Source organism: Homo sapiens, chromosome 2 (assembly GCF_000001405.40).
Source record: "Homo sapiens chromosome 2, GRCh38.p14 Primary Assembly".
NCBI lineage: Eukaryota > Metazoa > Chordata > Mammalia > Primates > Hominidae > Homo > Homo sapiens.
Window position 1 is genome coordinate 195827147 of NC_000002.12, and position 25614 is coordinate 195852760.

At 36.9% G+C, this 25614-nt stretch overlaps 1 protein-coding gene across 11 annotated transcripts in view; it reads right to left on the reverse strand.

Moving 5' to 3' along the window:
• The window catches only part of DNAH7 (dynein axonemal heavy chain 7), a 331135-nt gene that overhangs the window by 89444 nt on the left and 216077 nt on the right, over positions 1–25614 (reverse strand). For 6 of the 11 annotated variants that reach the window (XM_011511488.4, XM_017004504.3, XM_011511490.4 and 3 more), the window contains 2 exons: positions 17856–18019; positions 7060–7214 (listed from right to left, as the gene is read on the reverse strand). The exons of 1 other annotated variant lie outside the window; for it this stretch is intronic. In XM_011511488.4, the coding sequence (XP_011509790.1) occupies positions 7060–7214; positions 17856–18019 (319 nt within the window). Of the gene's footprint in view, positions 1–7059; positions 7215–17261; positions 17303–17855; positions 18020–20408; positions 20492–25614 lie in introns of those variants that run through there. 4 more of the 11 variants (XM_011511492.4, XR_922968.4, XM_011511491.4 and 1 more) reach the window with 4 other exon arrangements.

Genomic DNA, 25614 nt, shown 5'->3' on the forward strand with positions numbered 1-25614 from the left:
AAGAGAAAGGTGAGTGGATGGCAGGAACAACCAGCACTCATTGCCACATGTGCTAATTTAAAAACTTTATCTGTATTTTTAAACATTGTTTTAGCAAATATTTCCCCCAGTTTTCAACTTGTTCTTATTTAATTAATTAATTTATTTGAGATGGGGTCTCACTCTGTTGCCCAGGCTGGAGTGCAGTGTGGCACAATCTCAGCTCACTGCAACCTCCATCTCCTGGGCTCAGGCCATCTTCCCACCTCAGCCTCCTGGGTAGCTGGGACTACAGGTGGGTACCATCACACCCAGCTAATTTTTTGTGTTTTTGGTAAAGACAGGGCTTCACCATGTTGTTGCCCAGGCTGCTCTTAAACTCCTGAGCTCAAGCAATCCACCCACCCCAGCCTCCCAAAATGCTGGGATTACAGGTGTGAACTACTGCCTCCAGCCTATTTTATTTTATTTTTTGAGACAGCGTCTAGCTGTGTCTCCCAGGCTGGAGTGCAGTGGTGTGATCACAGTTCACTCTAGCCTCAACCTCCAGGCTCAGGCAATCCTCCCACCTCAACCTCACATAGGTGGAACTATAGGCATGGACCACCAGGCTCAGCTAATTTTTTTTTTTTTCAGAGATGGGGTCTTGCTACATTGCCCAGACTGGTCTCAAACTCCTGGGCTCAACCAATCCTCTTACCTCAGACTCCCAAAGTGCTACGATTACAGGAATGAGCCACTGTACCCGACCTTCCACTTGTTTTTATATTTGCCTGTATTTCTTCTTATAATTTAACTTTTTGTTGTAGAAATTTTCAAGGCTTTCTCAAAATAAAGAGAATAGTATATAATTGGTACTTGATATAACTACCAATCATCCTGCTTTAGGCATTGTAAATTCGGCCAATCTAGTTTCATCCATTCCTTATCTAACCTGGATTATTTATAAACAAATCCTAGACATCATAAAACTTCAGCTGCAAGTATCTCTTGGAGATAAGAACTGTTTAAAAATTGACGCATCTTAAAAAATTAATAATTCACAGTTTTGTCAAGTATCAAGACAGAAAATATAATTCCCCATTGTCTTAAGGTATTTGGCTTATAGTGTTACGGCTTAAATTAGGATACAAATAAGTTTCATAGGTTGAAACTTTCTTTTCAAATATTTCTGCCAGGCCGGGCACAGTGGCTCATGCCTGTAATCCCAGCATTTTGGGAGGCCGAGGCGGGCGGATCATGAGGTCAGGACATCGAGACCATCCTGGCTAACACAGTGAAACCCTGTCTCTACTAAAAATACAAAAAAATTAGCCAGGTGTGGTGGCTGGCGCCTGTAGTCCCAGCTACTCGGGAGGCTGAGGCAGGAAAACAGCGTGAACCCAGGAGGCAGAGCTTGCAGTGAGCCGAGATCTTGACACTGTACTCCAGCCTGGGCGACAGAGCAAGACTCCATCTCAAAAATAACATATATATATATATATATTTTTTTTTTTTTTTTCTATTGCATATTTGCTTAGGACATCCTTTCCCATCAAAGGACTATGTTTCCTTTTAGCATTTGTCTTTTTTTCTTTCGTATTTAATTTTTAAACTCATCTGGAACATATTTTGGTGTGAAGTGAGACTCTGACCTAAAATATTTTTCCACAAAGCCAATTTTCCTAATACCACTTGCTGGTGTGATGTATCATTTTTCTGTTGGTTATAAGGTTTAATTTATAGTGCATCAAAGCCTTACATATATTAGGGTTCATTCCAGAGCTTATTCCAGTTAACTCCAAACTTACTCTTTTGAATGTTTTGTGGCTTACTACTCTCTTTTCTTCTAGGTTAAGTATTGTTTTCTAAACATTTATTTCTGAAAGTTTACATCTTTACAACTTTCAGTTTTCCTGTCAGAGAAAAAGAGCTGTCGTACTTAAGCCTTCTCTGGTTTTTCTGAAAAGTTTGTCTTTTTCTCACTTTTTATTGTTAAAATTACTCTAGGTTGTTATTTTGTTGTTTTGTTTTGCTTTGCTTTCTATTCACTGGTTGACTATAATAACTACCAAAATAGGTGGTTCTCAGTTGTCACTGATTTAATATTCTTTTTGGAATATATCTCTTCCACTGAATTTTTAAATTCTGATACCTTTCAGTTAATTATCTTTAGTTGTCTAGATGAGGTATATTGTTTATAAATATGATAATTTTGTTTCCTTTCTTTTTTTGTTTTTGTTCAGTATATGTGGCCCTACTATATCAATTGTTTCTTCCTTTAAATGTTATAGCACCTTCATTGTTTCTTGTTTTATGGCACTGAAAACAACTTTCCTAACAATGTTAAACAATAACAGTCATAACAGATATCAATTTCTCATTTTCACTTTTACATGATCATATTTTTAAAATCTAATTTGCTCAACCATTTTGAACCAAAATTCTGTTTAAGGAAGATTATAACGTTTCAGTTTCTCTTACTGCCTCAACATTTATCAATATTAATTTTTTACATAAAATCTGATATTTAATGTTGGCTAAAAGTAACTATATATTTTCATCCCCTACTCACCCTAACATTTTTCTTAGTTTTGAAATGTAATTAAGAGTGTCTATATTAATATATGTAAAAATCATTTTTGAAGCTAAAATATACATTATGAAACTTAAATATTACAGACTTGATTCTTTTCCCCCAATTTTGAAAAATTTATTGTCTTATTGCTAGAATCAAGTCTTAATCCTGTTAGGAAAGATATTTGTAGTGTCTTGATTTCAAAGAAATATATCCTTAGTACTGAATATTTATTATATTATGCGTCTCACCGGAAAATTTTAAATTTTTTAAAAATTTAAAGCATTTTGAATTTTAAAAAAAGGAAAAAATGTATAGGTACATGAATTACCCAGGATGCTCTCTTTAATTTCGTTATTTTATTTTGACTCCTTTAACTTTTAATTAGATCAAAATATATACCATGTTAAAGTAATAGGAGCAAATTCAAGAGACAGACTTCTCTTCATGTTTCTATCATCAAGATTAACAATTTGCTGGTTTATGTTAAAACCTCATTTCTCATTCTCAAGCACCAGACATCACAGTATTTGCAAAGCTTATGGGAAATCAAGACTAGGAATCCAAGCACACAGCCACTAATACTTTTGAGTAAGGCAGATCATCATCTCACTCAAAACAAACAGTTATCCTTAGCAACAGAAACATAATGAGAATTAAATGTTCTTTTCAAATTTCTCTTGCATGTAGGACATTAAATAATGTGGTTTTTAAGTTATGAATTATCTATATTATCCCATGTGAGACTTCAAATTAATAGAAAAAAATCTTCTTCTACAACTTATGTTCAACTCTGTAGCATATTTTATCAAAAATAGACTCAACAGTTACTCAGCACCTATCAGGTGCCCTTAAGCAGCTTGTAGAAGAGAAACAAACGGTTATGCACATAAAATAAGGGCAATCATGGAAATTCATGAAAGTTTCAGTGTTGGTACTTCATTGAAGGGGTCGAGATGTCACAGAAAAAGAGGTATTTGAGCTGTATCTTAAAGGATGGAATTTAAAGGAATCCACCAGATGGATGGAAGAGCAAAAACAAGCTAAGAGATTGAAACAATGCCATGTTGTTTCAGTGCTGGCTGCTCCCAAGTACCCTGCACTCCCATCTTCTAAATCCTCATTTTGTCTGTAATCTCTTTCTGCCCCTTTAACCTATAAGCTTCATGAAACTAAAGACTGAGTCTGTCTTATTCATGTTGTTTTTAGTGCCTACCACACTGCCTGGTACATGGTAGTTGCAAAATAAATGTTAATTAAATGAATGAATGGACAAATAAATGAGCAAATGAAAGAAACACTAAATTGGAAGTAGTTTTGTATCCCTGGTTTGTTACATACAAGGGGGAAAGAAAAGTAAAGTGCTGGGAGATGAGAAAAGTAAGGAAGGCTCAGATATGATAAATTCTGCTGTTGATACAAAGTTTTTTTTTTATAGATTCAATGGAAAGTCATTAAAATATCTTCTCTACAAATTGATTTATCAGCAATATTTGTATGATTAGTATTTTATGCACACTTTATCCATTGGCATAGCTAATACAGATGTACCTTTATTTTCTAGAACATTGGCTTTCAAACTTTTTTTTAAGCAGCAGAATACTTCTTTTCAAAGAGGATCTTATCATAAACTGCAATATAAAAAAGAAAAGTGAGACCTGCTCTGGCTGAAGTAGAGGCAGGTAGCTGAAGCAGGCAGCTGACGCAGGCAAAAACTTCTGCCTGCTCAACCCAGGCTGCCTGTGAGGGACAATAGATCAAAAGCCACTGACTCTGAAGAGGCCAATATCTAAACATAACTCCTTAAATGGAAGAGTCTTTATGTCGTAAATGTATAACAGTAACCAATTCTTTTACTTGATGGTTAAATATAGAAATAGCTTTAGAATCTGCCATCTATCTCTCCTTCCATTAAGAGATTAAAACTTCACTCTTCTCTGATGACTAATGTTAGAAAGCATTGTAAATAATCATTAGCATTTAAAAAGTATTTTATTCCAAAAAGTAGGTTAAATCAACTGAAAGAAAATCTTGCTTGTGTAACACAGTAAGCACCAGACAAAGACAGAAGACTTAGGGACTAGTTTCAGCACTCCTCTTAACTGGCTTAATTAGCATATAGTATGGTGATATGATATACACATAAATAGAAAGGGAACGTCCATCACTAACCCTTATTGGGACCAGTATAGTTAAGGGGTAGTTAACTACCTTGGTTAAGCCTTTTAATTAACATTCTCTAATACCTCACTTACCTTGTTAATAAAATGAAGTGGCTGGAATCACCACTGGATTTCAAACTTTTCTGGCCACAACTCAAAGTAGGAAATACATTTTAAATATTGACTAAGTACATATATATGCATATAAAATTTAAACAAAAATTTCATGAAATGATGCTTACCTTTATACTATGCCTTGCAGCCTACTATGTTCTATTCCTTCCTATTGCATCTTATTAACAAAATATTGGTCATGACCCACTAAATTGGTTATCTCTCCCATGGTTATGACCCATACTTTGGAAAACACTAAACTGATAATCTCTATGGCCCTTTTGTGTCTAAAATTATGGAATTCTAACATCAAGATTTGTGACTGACATCACAGAAATCTCCAGAATGTCAAGCATATGGTAGATGCTCAATTATCATTTAATTGTCTTTTACTATGTCAAGGAAATTATTTGAATATTTAAATTAACCTAAGTAATTTTAATTACTTAATGTTTTGGGTTCTGTTTTTGGTTTTTTCTTTCTTTCTTTTTTTTTTTTCTTTGAGACAGGGTCTCACTGTGTTGCCCAGGTTGGAGTGCAGTGGTGTTATCATAGCTCACTGCAGCCTTGACATCTTGGGCTTAAGCAATTCTCCCACCTCAGCCTCCTGAGTAGCTGGGACCACAGGCACATAGCACCATGCCCAGCTAATTTTTGTATTTTTTGTAAAGATGGGTCTCACCATGTTGCCCAAGTTAGCCTCAAACTCCTGGGTTCAAGTAATCCTCCCGTCTCAGCCTCCTAAAGTGTTGAGATTACAGGCATGAGCCACTGTGTCCAGCCTACTTAAAGTATTTAAGGTGCCAGTTCCTTCAAGAAGTCTTCCCCAGTTCCTCTGAATTCCTATAGTACATCATCTGTGCCTTTCTTATTATATCATACTAAAATATGATACACATAAATCATACAGTAAATGTTCAACAAAAAACATAAATTGATCAATAGACACCGCTGTAAGTATCCAACATACAGTAATTTATTTCTTCCTCAAACTATATGGTTAAAATATAGATGGGGAAACTGAGTCTCAGGAAGGTCACTGAAGCAAACACTGAGTGACAGAGGCAAGTACTCTGAATCCAAGGACAGTCCCCTGCCCATTAACTACACTGATCCCAATAAGAATTAGTGATAACCACTTTCTAATTTTATTACAGTGATGCACACACACACATATATCTGATCTTACTGTTAAACAGGCAAAATATTTAATAGTAGAGATCATGTTCCCCTTTTCTATGTAACTCCTATATCACATTCTATATGCTAAGAACACCAATTAAATGAATGAAATAACACGTGTGCATGTGTCTGTGTGTCTATTACATAAACACAAAATTTCATAGGTAGACTTAGACTGTCTTCATTTCACACTTATTCTAATAGAGCCTAAAACTATAATTAATATTTGAAGACTAACTCCCTCTTAATGTGCACAAATAAGGTGTCTGTAAGACTACCTGGAATATTTATTATGATTCTTCCATATTATATTAGGTCTAATAACAAGTGAGACTTGCTGCACTGTCCTGGAGCTAAATAGATTGTAGTTTCATAAGGGCTTACCTTTATTTGGCCATGTAAATAGTCAAAATTTGATGGGCTACATGAATTTAAAGCATGACTAATAACCCCAATTTACTCAAATCACAAGTTTTCTGTTTTTCGTTTTGATAAATGTGATATCTACATAAGAGCTGTATTGAAAAATCTTTGTCATGTTTATAATCTCTTTATTTTAGATGGCAGATAATAACCAGGCACATAAAATCTGTACTCTCCTCTCTGCCACTTCTTTTTATTTTTTATTTTTTTGAGATGGAGTCTCGCTCTGCCACCCAGGCTGGAGTGTAGTGGCACTCTCTCGGCTCACTGCAACCTCCACCTCCAGGTTCAAGCGATTCTCCTGCCTCAGCCTCCTGAGTAGCTGGGATTACAGGCACCCGCCAGCACACCTGGCTAATGTCTGTATTTTTAGTAAAGACAGGGTTTCACCAACCTGTCTTAGGAGGCCAAGGAAGGCAGTTTGCTTGAGCCCAGGAGTTTGAGACCAGCCTAGGCAACATGGCGAAACCTCATCTCTACAAAAAATACAAAAATTAGCCAAGCGTGGGGGCATGTGCCTGTAGTCTCAGCTACTTGGTAGGCTGAGGTGGGAGGATCGCTTGAAACAATCTATACAGTTTTGGGTTAATTGTGCCCTCTCCAGGCAGTTCTGTAATGTATCTTAGTTATTCAACTACATACCAGGAGTACCAAACTGGATGCAATTTTCCAGAGTCCTGACATAGTCAGGTTCACTAAGTTTAATCACATAAAGACTATTGGCTTTTTCCATGTTCTTGATCCATTTATTAGCCTGACTTTGAGGATCTATCATCAGAGGCCACCTTCTTGCATTCCTGAAAAGGAGGAGAAAGACGATGCTGGTCAAGCCATGATTTGTTTCTACACTACTTAATCATGTTCACATCACAGGTCACTTTTTAAAAGTTTGCCCTTTATTGTAATATTTTACTTTTTAACTTATGAGAAACTATGTTCTTAAAACAGAGACGTGTAGATTGAGTGGGCTACCTGAACGGCAACTACAGAAACCATCCTGCAAAGTTCGCACAAGTTATTATACTCTTTTTGGAAAATTACATTTTCTAAATGTTAAATTACACTTTTGAAAATATTTGCTGCTCTTGCTAATTATGTCACAGTGACAACCATCAAGAGGACTGCGTTGGAAATAAGGAAACTCCAGTTCTTCACTAAGCCCTCCCATTAATGAATCATGTGACCTTGAGTAAGTCACTTTGCTTCCTTAGTTCCCACCTGCTGTCATTTGTATAATAGGGAAAGAGGTTTGGAATATTATATCTCAAAATCTAGACCATTAAAGAAATAACGGCCTAACAAAAAGGTAAAAAGCATAATTTTATATCATCTGAACTTCATAATATCCAGGGACACTTAAGTGTTAACACAATTGTTGACCCAATCTTTGTTTCAAACACTTCTGTATTTAGTGTCATATATGTAGTTCATTACATATTTGCTTTATGATAAGAACAAAGGCAATACCCCAGGAGGAACCCAGTTTATTTTCTAGGGTGTAGTGAACAGATGACTTCATCAGTATCTGCAATTACTGTATGATATTCAACCACATAGCTTTCCACCTTGTGTGAAATGTAATTGGCAACAAAATCACTATTCTTTCTCTTTCTCTTAGAAGTTTCAATCAACACAAGCTCTAATCCTGGCCAATTTTCTAAAGATACTGCCACACCCTTCAAAAGTGAGCAGAGCATGAGAAGTACGACATTTTAATGAAATTAAGTAAAAAAAAACCCACAAAAAACAAAAGTGAGCAGAGCCAATTCATTTAGGTCATTAGAAGAGCAGGAGGAGAAAATAAAAGGTGACTGAGGCAAAAAAAAAAAAAAAAAAATTGAAAAGAAAAAAAGGTAGGGGGATATAACAGGATAACATATTAAATTCACTCTCATTATAACATGAAATTGGAACGTCAATGGATGACTTGTCCCCCAAAATAAAAAAAACCATATTTTTATCAGTTATTAGTTAGAGCCTGGTATAAAACATGTAGCTTAGGCCGGGTGCGGTAGCTCATGCCTGTAATCCCAGCACTTTCGGAGGCCGAGGTAGGCGGATCATGGGGTCAGGAGATCGAGACCATCCTGGCCAACATGGTGAAACTCCGTCTCTACTAAAAATACAAAAATTAGCTGGGCGTGGTGGTGCATGCCTGTAATCCCAGCTACTCAAGAGGCTGAGGCAGGAGAATTGTTTGAACCAGGGAGCCAGAGGTTGCAGTGAGCCGAGATTGCACCACAGCACTCCAGCCTGGCGGCAGAGCAAGACTCTGTCTCAAACAAAACAAACAAAAAAACAAACAAAAATGTAGCTTAGATAAAAAAGAAAATAGTTTTCTTATCCTCCAATGTGAGCATTATCCTTGTGTCACTCTGGCTGCCATAACAGTATACCACTGACTGAGTGGCTTAAACAACAGAATTTATTTTCTCACAGTTCTGGACCCTGAAAGTCCAAGACTAAGGTTTCAGCAGGTTTGGTTTTTGCAGAGCCTCTCTCCTTGACTTGCAGATAGTACCTTCTTGCTGTGTCCTATATGGCCTCTGCTCCATGCAAGATGTTCCTGGTGCTGCTCCCTCTTCTTACAAGGACACCATTACTATTTGATTAGGGCTCCCCCTTAAGACCTCATTTAACCTTAGTTACCTCTTTAAAGGACCTATGTTCAGGGCCAGCATGGTGGCTTACGCTTCTAATCCCAGTGCTTTGGGAGGCTGAGGTGGACAGATCACTTAAGCCCAGGAGTTCGAGACCAGCATGGATAGCATAGCAAAACCCCATCTCTACAAAAAACAATTAGCAGGCATGGTGGCAGGCACTTGTAGTCCCAGCTACTTGGGAGACTGAGGTGCGAGGATCACTTGAGTTTGCAGTGAGCTGGGATTGTGTCACTGTACTCCAGCCTGGGTGACAGAGTGAGACCCTGTCTTAAAAAAAAAAAAAAGAAAGGCTCTATCTCCAAATACGGTCACATGGGAGTCATGGCTTCAACATAAAAATTTGGTGGGGCAGCATAATTCAGTCTATGACATTAATTATGTAAGAAAAGACATCAAAAGAGTAATGTAACATCTTAGATGCAATTAACTAATGAAAAATCACTCTAAAGAGAGTGAGAGAAGGGAAATTAGAAAGAAATAAAAATATAAATATATAAAAAGTTTTCATTATGTCACATTTTAGAAATATATTTTTAAGTTTGGAGGATTATGTGTGAATGTTAAACAGCATTTATGCTTTCCTAAATAAATTGAATTACTCACTCTTGTATCACTTCCACATTTTTTAGCCACAATACCTATGTTCATCCTGTTTATTTGTCCAAAATGCACTTCTCTCCCATCTTTTCCCATTTAAGTCCTACTCATGTTTGAACATCAGCTCAAAAGCTATATAGTCCACAAAGCCTCTCTCCATCTCTTTTCTCTCTGAACTTCTTTAGCAATTCATCCATGTTATATTTATGGTATTTGCATGTAATGGTAATATTCTATTATGGTAATTCTATAATTCCTTAGCCGCATCATCCAACTAAATTGTTTATTCCTTTAAAGGAAGGGTCCATGCTCATTCTTTATTCTTTTTTTCCTAGATCAAATAAAGGTTGCATGTGACAATCTACTGATATTGAAACAGTAAAGTCATGGGGCAAACACCATACAAATTAAATAATTCTAAAGCTTGAAATTCTCTAAGAGATTATCCCTGCACAGAAAATACTTGTCCAATAAGCAGCATTTCAAAACCAGAGGAAAGGACTTCTGATTCTAACCAAGATGGGCTGGGCTTTTTACAGCCTATCTCTTTCACTGATTACATCTAAAAATGTTGAACAAAATACAAAAAACAACTACTTACAGATTCTAAAAAGTAAATAATAACAAGTGAATGGGAGAAAAATCCTAACTTGAGGAATTATCAGTAATGGGGTAGTGAGTTTTCTAAGTTTCTTCTTTCTTTCTATTTTCTGGCTTAGTGGGGGAACCATGCAGCAGGCACAGGTAGCAATAACTCAAAATAAGTAACTGAAAAAATGACCATATGTGAGCCAGAGAGCATGGGCATAAATCCATGTTTTATTTCATGTTTTGCTTTTTTTTTACTTTATTCTCCTTTATCTCTACCCCAAGGTTAACCCCACTCACAGAACTGTATTATCATGACAGAAAAAGCAGTGGTGCAGTTACCCAAAACACTGAGCAAAAACCTGTCTCTCTGGACAGAAGTAAAAAAAGAGGCCCCTGTTGTACACAGAATGTAAGGGAAATCCAAGTATTTTTCTTTTTTCTTACCACTTTGCCCCCAGTGTTGGCATGAAATTGTGCAATAGCAAGGGAAGAGAAAACTCTGAAAGAACTTCATCATTTTGGCCATTAAAAAAGTATAAAAAAGGTGCCCCTGGGATATGGAAAGTGGGGCAGGGGTAGGATAAATTCTGAAAAGACCTGAAGCTGTGCATGCATGGAACACTTCTAAAGAAGCATATCAGAGGCTTTAAACAATATCATAAATCCTAGTCCATTTAACTCCTGAGTAATGAATGCCGAGGAGTAGATTCAAACAGTATAGTGAAGGCTTACAAATCTGAACTGACATTGCAACATCACCCACAGAAGGAGAACTAAGAATTGTGATCTAAACTTAACTGAGTTATTTGACTGCTAAACCAAAAAATCAATCTTATCCAGAGGATTTTGACAGGACCTAGAGTCTCATATTCAAAATTTCCAGGATGCAATCCAAAATTACTCAACACACAAAGAATAAGGATGTGATTAATTCTCAAAGAAATAGACAGATTTGAAATTACCAGAAAAAACTTTAAAGCAGATATTATAACCATCCTCCATGAGACAAAGGTGAACATTTTTGAAATAAATAGAGACATTCTCAGGAGAAAAAAAAACAGAAAGGATAATGAGCACCAAATGGAAATTTTAGAACTGAAAAACATAATATCTGAAATTAAAAGTCCCATAGTATGGACTCAGTAGCAGAACAGAGATAACAGAAGAGTCAGTGAAGCTGAAGATAGATGAATATATATAGTCCAATTTGATCAACAAGGAGAGACACTATCAGATTGGATAAAACTATACGATCCAACTGTCAGCTGTCTACAAGATACCCACTTTAAATATAATAATATAGTTATATTAAAAGTAAAATGATGGTAAAAGATATACCATGAAAACACTAAACAAAATAAAGCTGTACTGGCGATAGTATATTAGAAAAAATAGACTTCAGAACAAGAAAACCATCAAGGATAAAGGGGGACATATGCAACAACAAAAGGGTCAATTCATCAAGAAGACATAATAGTCTTTAATGTGTATGCCTCTAACAACAGAGCTCCAAAATAAATAAAGCTAAAACTGATAAGACTGAAGAGAGAACAAGTAGACAGAAAACTAGCAAGGATATTGAAGCCATGAACAACAGTATCAAGCAATTCAACCTAACCAACTTTCAAAATGCCATTCACTCAATAATAGCAGGATATTTTTTCCAAGTGCACATGGAACATTAAAAATATAGACAAGTTTTATGCTATAAAACAAACCTTAAAAAATTTTAAACAACTGGAATCATACAATGATAGTCTGAAAATAACAAATAAATTTGAAATTAAAAACAGTAACAAAAAAATACCCTAAAAGTCTCCAAGTATTTGGAAATTAAAAAAATATATTTCTGAAAAATCCATGAATCAAAGAGGAAATTTCAAAAAAAATTAGAAAATTCTTTAAAGGAAATTAAAATTAAAATAAAACATCAAAATTTGTGCTATGTAGCTAAAGCAATACTTAATGTGAAACATATAGCATTAAGTCCATGGATTAGAAAGGAGAAATCTAGAATCAATAACCTTCCACCTTAGGAAACCAGAGACATAAAAGTAATTTATGCCTAAAGCAAACAGAAGCAAAGAAATAATAAATATTAGGGAAGAAATCAGTATTATTGAAAACAAAAAAAGAATGGAGAAAAACAATGCAACCAAAGGCTTGTTCCTATATAGGATCAACAAAATTTATCAAACTCTAGCCAGATTGACCAAGAAAATAGAAAGAATACACAAATTATCAAATCAGAAGTGATAGGTGAGATTATCATTACAGACCCTACAGACATTAAATAAATATTAAGGAAATACTATAAACAACTCTCTGGTCATACATTTAACAGCTTAGATGAAACTGAGCAATTTCTGAAAAGACAGAAACTGCCAAAACTCACTTAGGAAGAAATAGATCACCTGGATAGACCTGTTACTATTTCAAAAATTGAATTCATGGATAAAATCTTTCAATGACAAAAAAATTCCAGGCACAGATAATTTCTTTGGTCATTTCTATGAAACATTTAAGAAAGAAATAATTCTAATTCTACATGATCTCTTCCACAAAATAGGAGAGAAGACTTCCCAATTCCTTTTAGGAGGCCAGCATTACTCTGAAAGCAAAACCATACAGACATTACAACAAAATAAAACACAGATCAATATTCCTCATGAACATAAATGCAAAACTCTTCAAAGCACATTAGCAAATCGAATCCAAAAATATATAAATAAGAGAATACATTATGACCAAGTAGAGTTTAATCTGGAAATGCAAGGCTAGTTCAACATTCAAAAATCAATCGGTACAATTACCATTTTAACAGACTAAACATAAAAAAACTGTAGGATCAACTCAATAGACGCAGAAAAAACATTTCACAAAATTTAACATCCATTAATGTTAAAAACCATCAGCAAACTAGGAATAGAAGGGAGTCTCTTTCACATGATACAAAGGAGGTAAAAAAACCTACAGCTAATACCACATGTGATAGTAAAAAACTGATTCTCTCTAAGATCAGGTAAAAGGCAACAGTGTCTGATTTCATCAACCCTGTTCATCATTATACTAGAAGCCCTTGTCAGTGCAATAAGCTAAGAAAAAGAAATAAAAGGCATACAGATTAGAAAGTAGTAAGTTAAACTGTCACTAATTGCAAACAGCATGATTGTCTACATATAAAATATTCCAATATATCTACATAAAAGATCCCAGAACTAATAAATGAGTTTATTAAAGCTACAGGGTAAAAAGTCAATATTCAAAAATAAACTGCTTTCCTAATGAATAGTTGAACACAATCTTTTAAGTACCACACAGAAATAAAAGAAATACTGGGTATAAATCTAACCACAAAACACTGATGAAAGAAATCAAAGGAGGCCTAAGTACACAAAGAAATACACTGTGTTCATATAGTAGAAATATATACTAAGTTGTCAATTCTTCTCAAATTGATCTTAGATTCAATTAGTACCAATACAAATCCCAGGAAGATTTTGTGTAGTCATTTAAAAATTGATTCTAAAATTTATATGTAGAGTTACAAGTAGACAAAACAATTTTGAAAAAGAAGAACAAATGTGAAAGATATAATACCTGACTTTGAGACTTAATATGCTTCAATAATCAAAGAAATATGGTATTTACATCAAGACAAATAGGTAAATGGAACAGAGAACTCAGCAACAAACCCACATGCATGTGAACCAATGATTTTCAACAAAGACGTAAAGGCAATCCGATTTTAAAAAGGATAATATTTTCAACAAATTATGCTGGAACAATTGTATATTTTCTCTCTCTTTCTCTTTCTCTCTCTCTGTCTCTCTCTCTCCTCTCTCCCCTCACCCCCAACCCTCTTTCCCCATATATGGATGTGTGCAATTATACACAAACAAATCTTTTGTTGTTCCATATCCAGTTAATAACTATATCAAACTTATTTTTCCCAGACAACAGTCTTAATGTAACATCTTTTTTATCCAAAGACAGGATGTTTGTGACTTCAGCTTATATTCAATTTTAAAGATTTGGGCTTCCATAGAATAACATATTAGATGAATAAAATTTTAAAGGAGATAATCTTCAATGTAGATAAAAAAGAAAATACTAGTTTAACAAATATACCAACAATTGTGGAAAGCTGTATGCAACAAACTGATTTAAATAACTTCAGTCTTTGGATGAATACAAATTCTGAATTCAAAACGAACAAGCACTACATTTACTTGCTTACTTCTTCTCCATTATTATTTTGTATTTTTTTTTTAACAAGAAAATGTTTTTCTCCACATAATCTTTCTCTCTTTTACTTCCTCCATCAAACATTCTTGAATCTACAAAGGCTTTAAAATCAGTGGTTCCCAAATGGAAATTGAATTTTTATAGCACTCAATGTTCCAAGTTTTGACAGTGTGTATTCTTTTGTTACTGTCTAGAGAGGATTGTTATTTGGTGCTTTTGTGGGCTTTTTGAAAACATGGACTTCTAACAGTGAAAATACATGTTCACAGCAGTTGCACAGACCACAGATTTTGAATATGAAGCAGCAATACATTTCAGAGTTTTGATATTTTCGTTTTTACACACACATAAATTCATAAAAACAGACAAGGAAAGGTGTTATTCTTCTCAGTTATTATTGCTACTGAATTAAACCTAATATATCTCTCTTCTATGGAAATGAAAATTTACTTTTTTAAAAAGCAGAGTTATATCAGATACAGGTCTGATCTACTTACCAAGCTGTTAAATAATCCTAATCCTTTACCCGTGAAATGTTCAGATACAATCTAATTACATTTAATGTTATCACTAATCTTTGAAATTCTAATTAGCCAGGGACCTTTAGGAGTCAACAGCCCCAAAAGTTAATTATATTCTAACTTGCCCAAATTTTATAGATTCTTCCAGTTTTCCTAAATAATCGTCTCCTCACTCAGCTAAGATAATATGTGAAAAGCACTTAGCACAGGATTAGGTCCTCTGTGAGTGCTCAATATTAGATACTATCGTTGTCAAGCAAGAGTTTCTGGGGAATGGAAGAGGGCACTGCACAGGTAAAGAAGATACTTAGCTGATACTTCAAAGTGATCACTTTAAACATATTTACTGAAAGCTTTCAGTATAAGATTACCAAAATATATTGGGAAAAGAAGCCAAGAATGAAAATTGTTAATATTTTCTTCTTAGTATAGTTGCTACCACAACTTTCTGCTAATATTTCAACATTTCTACAAATGAATAGTAAAGATGTAGGGGTTATGACTCATTAACATAATTTTCTGTCTCCATCCCTCCCAAAATGTGAGTGTGCTGTCTTGAAAAATAATCACTGAATGGTTTAGAATCTTATATGCAGATATATCCATCAACAGTTCTATTATTTTTGAAATATGACTAGACCCCAAAATAAGGGTATGTTTATTTGCTAGAAAACAAGATGCAATTTGGCCTCTGATGGTGGATACAGTGGTTATAGATGTCCTGCTAGGCAGAACCATGATATATAAATTGCAAATCAAGACAATGACTACCACTTCAGTAACTACTAATATGTAGGACATGACCAGCTACGTTCACAAGAGCTTGAGAAGAGCCAAAGCTCTTTTCTGAGATAAAAACAATAACAAAAGCAGCAAATATTTGACTATTTTCATGCTGTAGTTAATTGGTCCAGCTAGACAAAAGTGAAAGTAAAAGTTAGACTTCCAAAATTTCAGAGATCTCCCACCTGTGTCAATCTGTAAGGTATATTCTAACACTAAACATCAACACACACTGCCTGCATGCCACATGTTAAGTAATTCAACAACGAGCTGCCCTTCTGTGCTTTGTAAAAGGCGCTTAAAAATCTGCTAAAATCTTTATTTTAGCAGCCAGCTAATGCACATATTTATCATTGATTTTAGATTATCTATTTTCTCCTTGGATTAATTTAGATTATTGGATCAGAGTACCCAGTATTTTAGTTCCCCAAAGTAAAGCTTAGTGATTTTTTCTCTAAATAAATAAAATAATTAAATTTAACTTTAGCTCCTGAAAAAGTTGGTCTCTTTAACTACAGTTTACTTGGTTAAAAAACAAAAACTATGTGATACAACTTTTTATTTTTGTCTTAGTTATCAGAAAGCGTCAAACTTAATTCAGGGCCCAGCTATAGGAATTAGCTTGTCTCAAATTCTAACAGTAACTACTCCTTTAACTTACCCTAGGTGGTCTCATCAGATTTTATCTTGTTTTATACTATAATCATACTGCACATACCTCAAATTCTTGTAGAACAATTTAGTAAATGAATGCTAAAGAAATCCATATGTCAGGATAATTTATTGGAAAATAAATGTGTTCACCAGAGTTTTAATTTGTAAAATGATTTTCATAAATACTATGTAGAGGCCAGGCGCAGTGGTTTAGGCCTGTAATCCCAGCATTTTGGGAGGCTGAGGCGGGCACATCACAAGGTCAGGAGATCGAGACCATCCTGCCTAACACGGTGAAACCCCATCTCTACTAAAAATACAAAAAATTAGCCGGGCGTGGTGGCAGGTGCCTGTAGTCCCAGCTACTCGGGAGGCTGAGGCAGGAAAATGTCATGAACCTGGGAGGCGGAGCTTGCAGTGAGCCAAGATCGCACCACTGCACTCCAGCCTGGGCAACGGAGTGAGACTCCGTCTCAAAAAAAAACAAAAAACCCAAAAACCATATACATAAAATTTAGGAATAACTAGTCTCCACATTTAGTGTTTACTTCTATTTTAAAAGTTTCCATGCCTCAAACATTTTTACTTTAAAAAGTACCATCATATCAATTACTTTTTCATAGTAACCTAACAATTAGTCAAAATAGTCATGTAACACAGAGCATTTCCTACTGATAGTAGGAAATATCTGTGCTATCGTTAACATGCTAAAACTCTGAGAAAACTGGCCGAGTGATAAAAGGCTCACGGTAATGTGAACTTGGAAATAATACAAGATTGTCCTCACACTGTGACAGGCTGAAGTCCTTGGTTTCTGGGAGGTGAGACCTGGAGGAGAGGGTAAGGCAGACAAGCCTTTAATATTCTCCCAGCCCAGACTACACAGGTTTTCTCTACTAACCAGGAAACTACAGGTATAATGGCTACTATTCCCTATCAGTGTAGGACCCAGAAATACATCCATCTAATTTAAAACAGTCCCACACTAGGGACTAAGACGGAATTTGGAACACCCTGCCCAATCACCACCAATGACACACTAATGCACATTTCATTAACCTCTAATAACAAAACCCTGTATTTTATGGAAATGAAAATTTTGGACTTCCCTTACTTAAGGCAGGGTTTTGCTCTATTTGCTAAAAATTAATTTAAAAAAATTAAGTACAAGTCATCTGGTTCATTTGTTTACTACAGTGTCTAATACTCAACTATTATAATATTAATAAGAGAAGGAAGTGATTACTCATACTTAATTTCACTAATTAGTTAAGTAATTTTTTAATACTGTAAAAGTTTGCTACCTAAAATTGTTAAAGGAACACAGATAAATCTACTGTTATTTAATAAAGACCATTTGTGAGAAAAATATTTTTCTTACATTATGATTATCCCATTATCAATGGAAAATGAGTCAGAAGGTAATCCAGCAATATTCCAAGTTCGAATTGTCACAGCTTCTCCCAGGGTACCCATAAGAGAGCAATCATCTGAGCAGGGGATATCTCTTCCTTTGCACAAAGTTGTCCACTCTTTAGTTTGATTCTTTAGAACATCCACAGAAAGATAAAGAAATGAGACTGGAGGTTATCAAAAGCATGCTTTATAATTCCTCAATTTATACTGTATTCATTGAGTCAACAAACCATTGTGGAAACTCTACCTCAAAAATGATTTCTGTTTCTCAGATTCTTATTTCAAATAAAATTTTAATTGAGAAGGTCAGCTATGTACTCAACATATTCAATGTTGAGATAAAAGTCTAGATTAAGCACTTAAGTCAGAATTTTGTATCTGGAAAAAATAATTACCAATTGTTATTATAAAGCTTCATTTTCAAGGCTACTCCTATCAAACTACCAATGACATTTTTCACAGAATTTGGAAAAAGTATTCTAAAATTCATATGGAACCAATAAAGAGCCCGAATAGCCAAAGCTATCCTTAGCAAAAAGAACAAAGCCAGAGGCATCACATTATCTGACTTTGAACTATACTACAAGGCTCCAATAACCAAAACAGCATGATACTGGTGCAAAAACATAGATGAATGGAACAGAATAGAGAGCACAGAAATAAAGCTGTACACCTACAAGCATCTGATCTTTGACACAGTTGACAAAAATAAGCAATGGAGAAAGGACTCCCTATTCAATAAATGGTGCTAGGGTAACTGGCTAGCCATATGCAGAAGACTGAAATTGGACCCATTCGTTACGCCATATACAAAAATCAACTCAAGATGAATTAAAGACGTAAATGTAAAACCTAAAACTATAAAACCTTAGAAGAAAACCTAGGAAATACCATTCTAGACATAGGCCCTGGCCAAGATTAAATGGCAAGGATGCCAAAAACAATTGCAACAAAAACGAAAATTGACAAGTGGGACCTAATTAAACTAAAGAGCTTATTCACAGCAAAATAAACTATCAGCAGAGTAAATAGACAACCTACACAATGGGGAGAAACATTTGCAAACTATGCATCTGACAAAGGTCAATATATCTAGAATCCATAAGGAACGTAAACAAATTAACAAGCAAAAAACAACTCACCCCTTTAAAAAGTAGGCAAAGAACATGAACAGATACTTCTCAACAGAAGACATACACGCAGCCACAAGGATATGAAAAAATGCTCAACATCGCTAGTCATTAGAGAAATACAAATCCAAACCACAATGAGATACCATCTCGCACCAATCAGAATGGCTTTTGTTAAAAGTGAAAAAACAACAGATGCTGGCGAGGTCACAGAGAAATGGGACTGCTTATACACAGCTGGTGGGAATGTAAATTAGTTCAGCCATTGGGCAGAGCAGTGTAGTGATTTCTCAAAGAACCTAGAACTATTATTCAACTCAGCAACCCCATTACTGTGTATATGCCCAAAGAAATATAAATTGTCCTACCATAAAGACACATGCATACTGTGATGGTTAATACTGAATGTCAACTTGATTGGATTGAAGGATGCAAAGTATTGATCCTGGGTGTGTCTCTGAGGGTGTTGTCAAAGGAGATTAACATTTGAGTCAGTCAGCTGGGAAAGGCAGACCCACCCTTAATCTGGGTAGGCACCATCTAATCTGCTGACAACACAGCCAGGATATAAAGCAGGCAGAAAAACGTGAAAAGGCTAGACTGGCTTAGCCTTTCAGCCTACATCTTTCTCCCATGCTGGATGCTTCCTGCCTTCAAATGTGAAGACTCCAAGTTCTTCAGCTTTGGAACTCAGACTGGCTTTCTTGCTCCTCAGCTTGCAGATGGCCTATTGTGGGACCTTGTGATCCTGTGAGTTAATACTACGTAATAAACTCCCATATATGTGTGTGTGTGTGTGTGTGTGTGTGTGTGTGTATCCTATCAGTTCTGCCCTTTTAGAGAATCCTATTAGTTCTGTCCCTCTAGTAGTTAATACTACTTTATAAACTCCCATATATATATATATATATCTGATATATATATATCTGATTCTTCAGATGGTGGGATATCGGATATATATATATCTTATATATATATCAGATATATACTTATATATATAAACAGATATATATATATCCTACTAGTTTTGTCCCTCTAGAGAATCCTAACACACATGTGTATGTTCATCGCAGCACTATTCACAATAGCAAAGACATAGAATCAACTCAAATGGTACATATACACCATGGAATACTATGCAGCCATAAAAAAGAGTAAGATCATGTCCTCTGCAGCAACATGGATGGAACTAGAGGCCATTAACCTAAGCAAACTAATGCAGGAAAAGGAAACCAAACACTGCATGTTCTCACTTATAAGTGGGAGCTAAATGATGACAAGGCATAGACACAAAGAAGGGAGCAATAGACACTGGGGCCTACTTGAGGGTGGAGGGTGGGAGGAGGGTGAAGACTGAAAAACTACCTACTAGATACTATGCTTATTACCTGGGTGATGACATAATCTGTACACCGAACCCTGTTGACACACAATTTGGTTATGTAAAAAACCTGCACATGTACCCCTGAACCTAAAAGTTAAAAAAAAAACAAAAAAAACAAAGATTCAATTTACAAAGTAGTTGGGACCACCACATTTTTCCAAGTATTTTCTTTATGTTACAAATATCTAGCACATACAATATTATAGTAGAAAAGTAAATCCATTTTGAACCAGTAGGAGAGACGGAAAACTTTTACTTCTGACTCACATGCCCTGCGAGTGGCTACGGCAGGGCATTTCAGTGCCAATAAGGATCAGGGCACATAATGCAGTTTGTGAGACTCTACCTGGGGGACAGTCTGTAGGATGCTCAGGAACCCGGGCGGTACTACAAGCCAAGGTTCGTGTTCAGAAAGTCAGAAGTCAGTATCCAAGTTGAGTTTACAGATAAAAGATTTCAGAAATAGTGAAAGACATAACTGGAGAGAAAGGAGTTAGACGAAGGCAAGGGGAAGGTGGATATGTATGGTGCTGGTACCAGCCTCTGGGTTGATGAGGGTGCTGGGTGCTCACAGGTGGCGCTGGCTGAGAGGCCACGCTGGGCACTGCCATCTCCCTCAGGCTCCTGCTGAGTAGGCTGGACCAACATTCCTTGAGGTTTGCACAAGAAAGGGCATCACAGTTTTGGGGGAATTGATGACATTCATGACCTTGATAAGCCTGTTAACATTATGCAGAAGCCCCACAACTGGGTCTGTATGGTGTTCCATCATGATTCCTGGCACCATGCCAGGTTATGCATCTTTGGCAGAAATGTCACAGAAATCATGTGCTCTTCTCATTGCATCCATCAGATGGCACACAATTTCATTTCTGATGACACTTTGATGTTCATTTACTGATGACACTAATTTTTATCACTTGATTAAAGTGTTGTCTGCCAGGCTTCTGTGTCATAATTATATGAGCTTATGTGTGATTATAGATTCTTCAGATGGTGGGATGCAACGCAAAGACACTCAGATAAATGAAAGGCAGAACTCTGTTAGTTATAGCTCCAAATGGAGAAGGCTGCACACAGGGCCACACAGGTGTTGTCAGGAGACAGTGTAGCATCAAGCTAGAGCTGTGGGAGGCAGTTTATATATGGTAAATGGGATGGAATTAGCTGGGTTTCACATGTTTCCTGGGGGTTGGGTATTTTGAATCATTCTGTGGTTGCAAGGAAGAAGGGGCTGTCCCTGGTATCTGGGGGCCTCTGGAAGCTATCTATTGTAACCCGGGAGTGTTCCAGCCTAGTAAAGAAAATGGTTGGGGTGAGGGCTTAGCAAACTACTTACAAGAAAGAATTCTGCGTTTTTAACTGTTATTTAAAATGGTTAAGACAGCACTTGTGAAATATTATATTATAACTTCCCCACTGTTAAATTGCTCTTTTCCCCATTCCCTTTGCAGGTAATAAGCATTCTGCGGGGAGATACTTTGTAACCATGAAAATGTCCTGTTTTTTTCAAACATTCAATTTTTTTATTACTAATTTATGTCAGCATAGATTCATCTTTTTCATATTTTATCCAATGAGTTATGTTACTGTCACTATTTATTGCGATGCTGAAATTGTCCAAGTTTGGCCAGTGGGAATACCCTTAAGCTAAATTCTGTGTCCTTTTGACATGGCCCCATCTTTCTCTGGGTACTTCCTTACTCTTGCTCAAAAAAGACATTTCAGCTTTATCTTACAGTGAAGTCCAAGATAGCCAAAGATAATCTTCCTACTTTAAGCTCAGTTGACTAGCAACCATAATTCCATCTGCAAAGTCCCTTTGCCATGTAACGTGGCATAGTTACAGATACAACACTTGGAGGTGAAGATCATAGGGGCCAAAATTCTCCCTAGCATAAGTACTTAATAAATATCATCTGGCTATTTTGTTTTATTTGGTTGTTGATATGAGGAACAGATGGTATTGCTACGTAGGGAGGAGGGACAGATAGCATTTCCAGTTTGACTTCTATACACAGTTGCTTCTGGCATGTTTTATTTTTAATTTTTTAATTATTATTTTTTTGAGACGGAATCTTAACTCTGTCACCCAGGCTGGAGTGCAGTGGCATGATCTTGCTCACTGCAACCTCTGCCTCCTGGGCTCAAGCAATCCACCCACCTCAGCCTCCAAGCAGGACTGGGACTACAGGCACACACCACCATGCCCGGATAATTTTTTGTATTTTTTGTAGAGACAGGGTTGTACTATGTTCCCTAGGCTGGTCTCAAACTCCTGAGCTCAAGCAATCGGCACACCTCAGCCTCCCAACATTCTGGGATTACGGGTGTGAGCCACCTCACCCAGCACTACTGGCATGTTTTGTTCCATTTGTTTTCAGGCTGTAGGTTGGCCTACAGACATTTTGGAGAGGTCTGCAAGCTTTCTTGGATCTAGCTTGAAGCTGGAGTAGGCATGCTAGCCTATGACATAGGGAAGAAGTAGAGAAAATAGAAGCAATAGTTTCTGCAGAATGCTCAGCTTAGAGTTGACAGGTATAGTATGTTACCACAGATGAACTCTGGATTAGCAATTTAAGAGGCCTAATTACATGTCTATAAGGGTGTAATATCAGAGAATAACCAAAATGAGCATGGAGGACTCCGAACAAGCATCTCAAAATTCAAGCCAATGGCCTTGGCTGGTAATCAGGTGATGAGCTAGATGGTGGATTTGCTGGCATAAGGTCATGAAAAAAAAAAAAGGGGAGAGAGAGAGAGATGGTAGAAGTGGAAAACTGGCCATTAAGAGTGTCATCTTGGTGAAAATACCCAACACCATTAAAACAGTTTCTACTTTGGTTATTGGCAGATAAAGGTCAATTAGAAGGTTCAAATTAATTCAAATCCAGGGCTTGTATATTCATAATAGCACTGTAGGATTCTGTTTTGGAAAATGGCACAGGCATTGCAGTTGAGAGCTGTGGGCCCAGTTACCCTGGAAGAATTGGATTTTCCTATGTTTTATTTATGAAAAGTGCCAGGAATCTATAAAAGAGTTGATAAATAATTGACGACTACTCAGATTCAAGCTTGGAGGGGAAATGCAGCTATTTATTGAGGGCCCTTGATATCCAGAGACTTGAAACCCTTTGATGTCAGAAAAGCACCAAATGTTGTAAGGTCTCTTAGTTTGGGTTCCCTGAAGCAGACTGTGGGATGAAGATTCATGTGAGGGGACATGCTGAGGAAAGGATGCAGGGGGAAGCAGGACAAGGAGGAGTAGAAGCCAATAAAGGGTGAGGGACCAGCCTAAGTTCTGCAGCAGGTGGCCTCGTTAGATGCCACAGGGAGCCTCCATAGTGTAAGCTATTCCTTGGAGCTGTCCCAACCAGGGGGAAGGGAGAGAGACTCCCATGCTCCCTTCAATTATTCATTAAGGACTGCTCAAGAGGGAAGTACATTCCCAGGCACTTCTTGCTCTCCAAACACTGGGTAAAGTGGGTTCTAGGAACCCAAGGGAAGTCTGACAGAAAGAGCCACAGGTGCTAGTCGTTGGGTGTGAAAGCACACAGAAGCCAGGAAGGGCTCTGGTCAGAGCCCTGATGTTTGCCATCCAACCCTTACGCTGAGAATTGAATGAGACAGTTTTGATGGGAAATAAACTGCTCGCTGTTTTGACCTGAGAGAAACAGATAAAAGAGTGAAGATGACAAAGTGGGACTCAGAATTAATCCACAGGAATTCCTTCCTGTGACATGAGAGTGACATGAGAGATTTGTTAAGGAAAGTAAAAATTCAGGTTGATCTAGCGAAGCAAGGAAGGAATAAAATTGCCTTCAAGCCTTCACAGAGATGAGGTGGCATGGGATGAAGTGACTACTTGAATCAAGGGTTCAGACAGTGAATGAGTTCACAGAAGGCACTCTGAGCTTTGGCATGTCTTGTGTCTAAGTTGAATGTGGCTTTGTGTCTGTCAGTAAATTTCCAAGTCTCAGTTCACATGCTTAAGGCACCCTTGAAGCATTTGTGTGGTGGTCTGACTAGCAGCCCCCCATTCTGATAGTAGCTAGGTGATGATGGCAAAGTCAGAAGAGGCAGTCCCTTGGACTGAGTCTGTCAGAGAGGGCCTGGTTGGGAGGATGGTACATCTAGCTCTCCAAGCACTGGGTAAAGTGGATTCTGCTAGTGCACTGGGTAGTGCTAATACACTTTCTGCTGAGCTCTGGAATGCTAGACAGGAGCCAGTGCAGACACCTAGTGATGTGCTCTGAACCAGCAGGGAAAGGTAAGGGTGGCTGAAGCTACTCCTTTTATTGTTCAAAATGTCAATGTAGGAGAGTAGGAAGAGTGCTAAATTAGGATGCAGGTAACCACTGAGTGCTAAAGACAGAAGCACCCACTAGGTGAGGATTTTAAACATTTAGTTAAAAACAACACCACTGGCAGGGCACGGTGGCTCACGCCTGTAATCCCGGCACTTTGGGAGGGCAAGGTGGGCAGATCATAAGGTCAGGAGATTGAGACCATCCTGGCTAACATGGTGAAACCCCGTCTCTACTAAAAATACAAAAAATTAGCCAGGCGTGGTGGCGGGCACCTGTAGTCCCAGCTACTTGGGAGGCTGAGGCAGGAGAATCGCGTGAACCCAGGAGGTGGAGCTTGCAGAGAGCCGAGATCGCACCACTGCACTCCAGTCTGGGCGACAGAGGGAGGCTCCTTCTCAAAAACAAACAAACAAACAAAAAAAGAAAAACACCACCACCAAGAGTCAACCCTCCTTAGGAGATAGTTCTGAAATTAAATGAGGCTCAATTGAGACCACGTGTAAGCCAATGCTCAGTGAAATTATAAAGCCCTATACAAAGGGGATGTAACATGTACTCTTTCTCATTTGACACCAAAAACTATTGCCAAATGTTCTGAATTCCTCCCTTCTTTTATTCTCATTATCATCCCTCCCATTTTTTCTTTTAGTTATCTTAATTTTTCTAAATCTCTTTGCCTGCTTTGATAGGGCCATGACCCAGGTTGGATTCCAGTTCCATTTTTCTAAAAAGAGCTGAATAGTATGTTGGGTCTCTCATTCAGTAAAAACTAAAAAGTGGAAGAGAAAGGCAGGAAGAATAATTAGGATTAACTCCTAGGGTTAGATGTTCCGCCAGGGAGAAGAAAGAGGCAGAATCAGTCAGAGAGGTGGGAGGCAAGGCAGGGAACGTGGGGTTTGT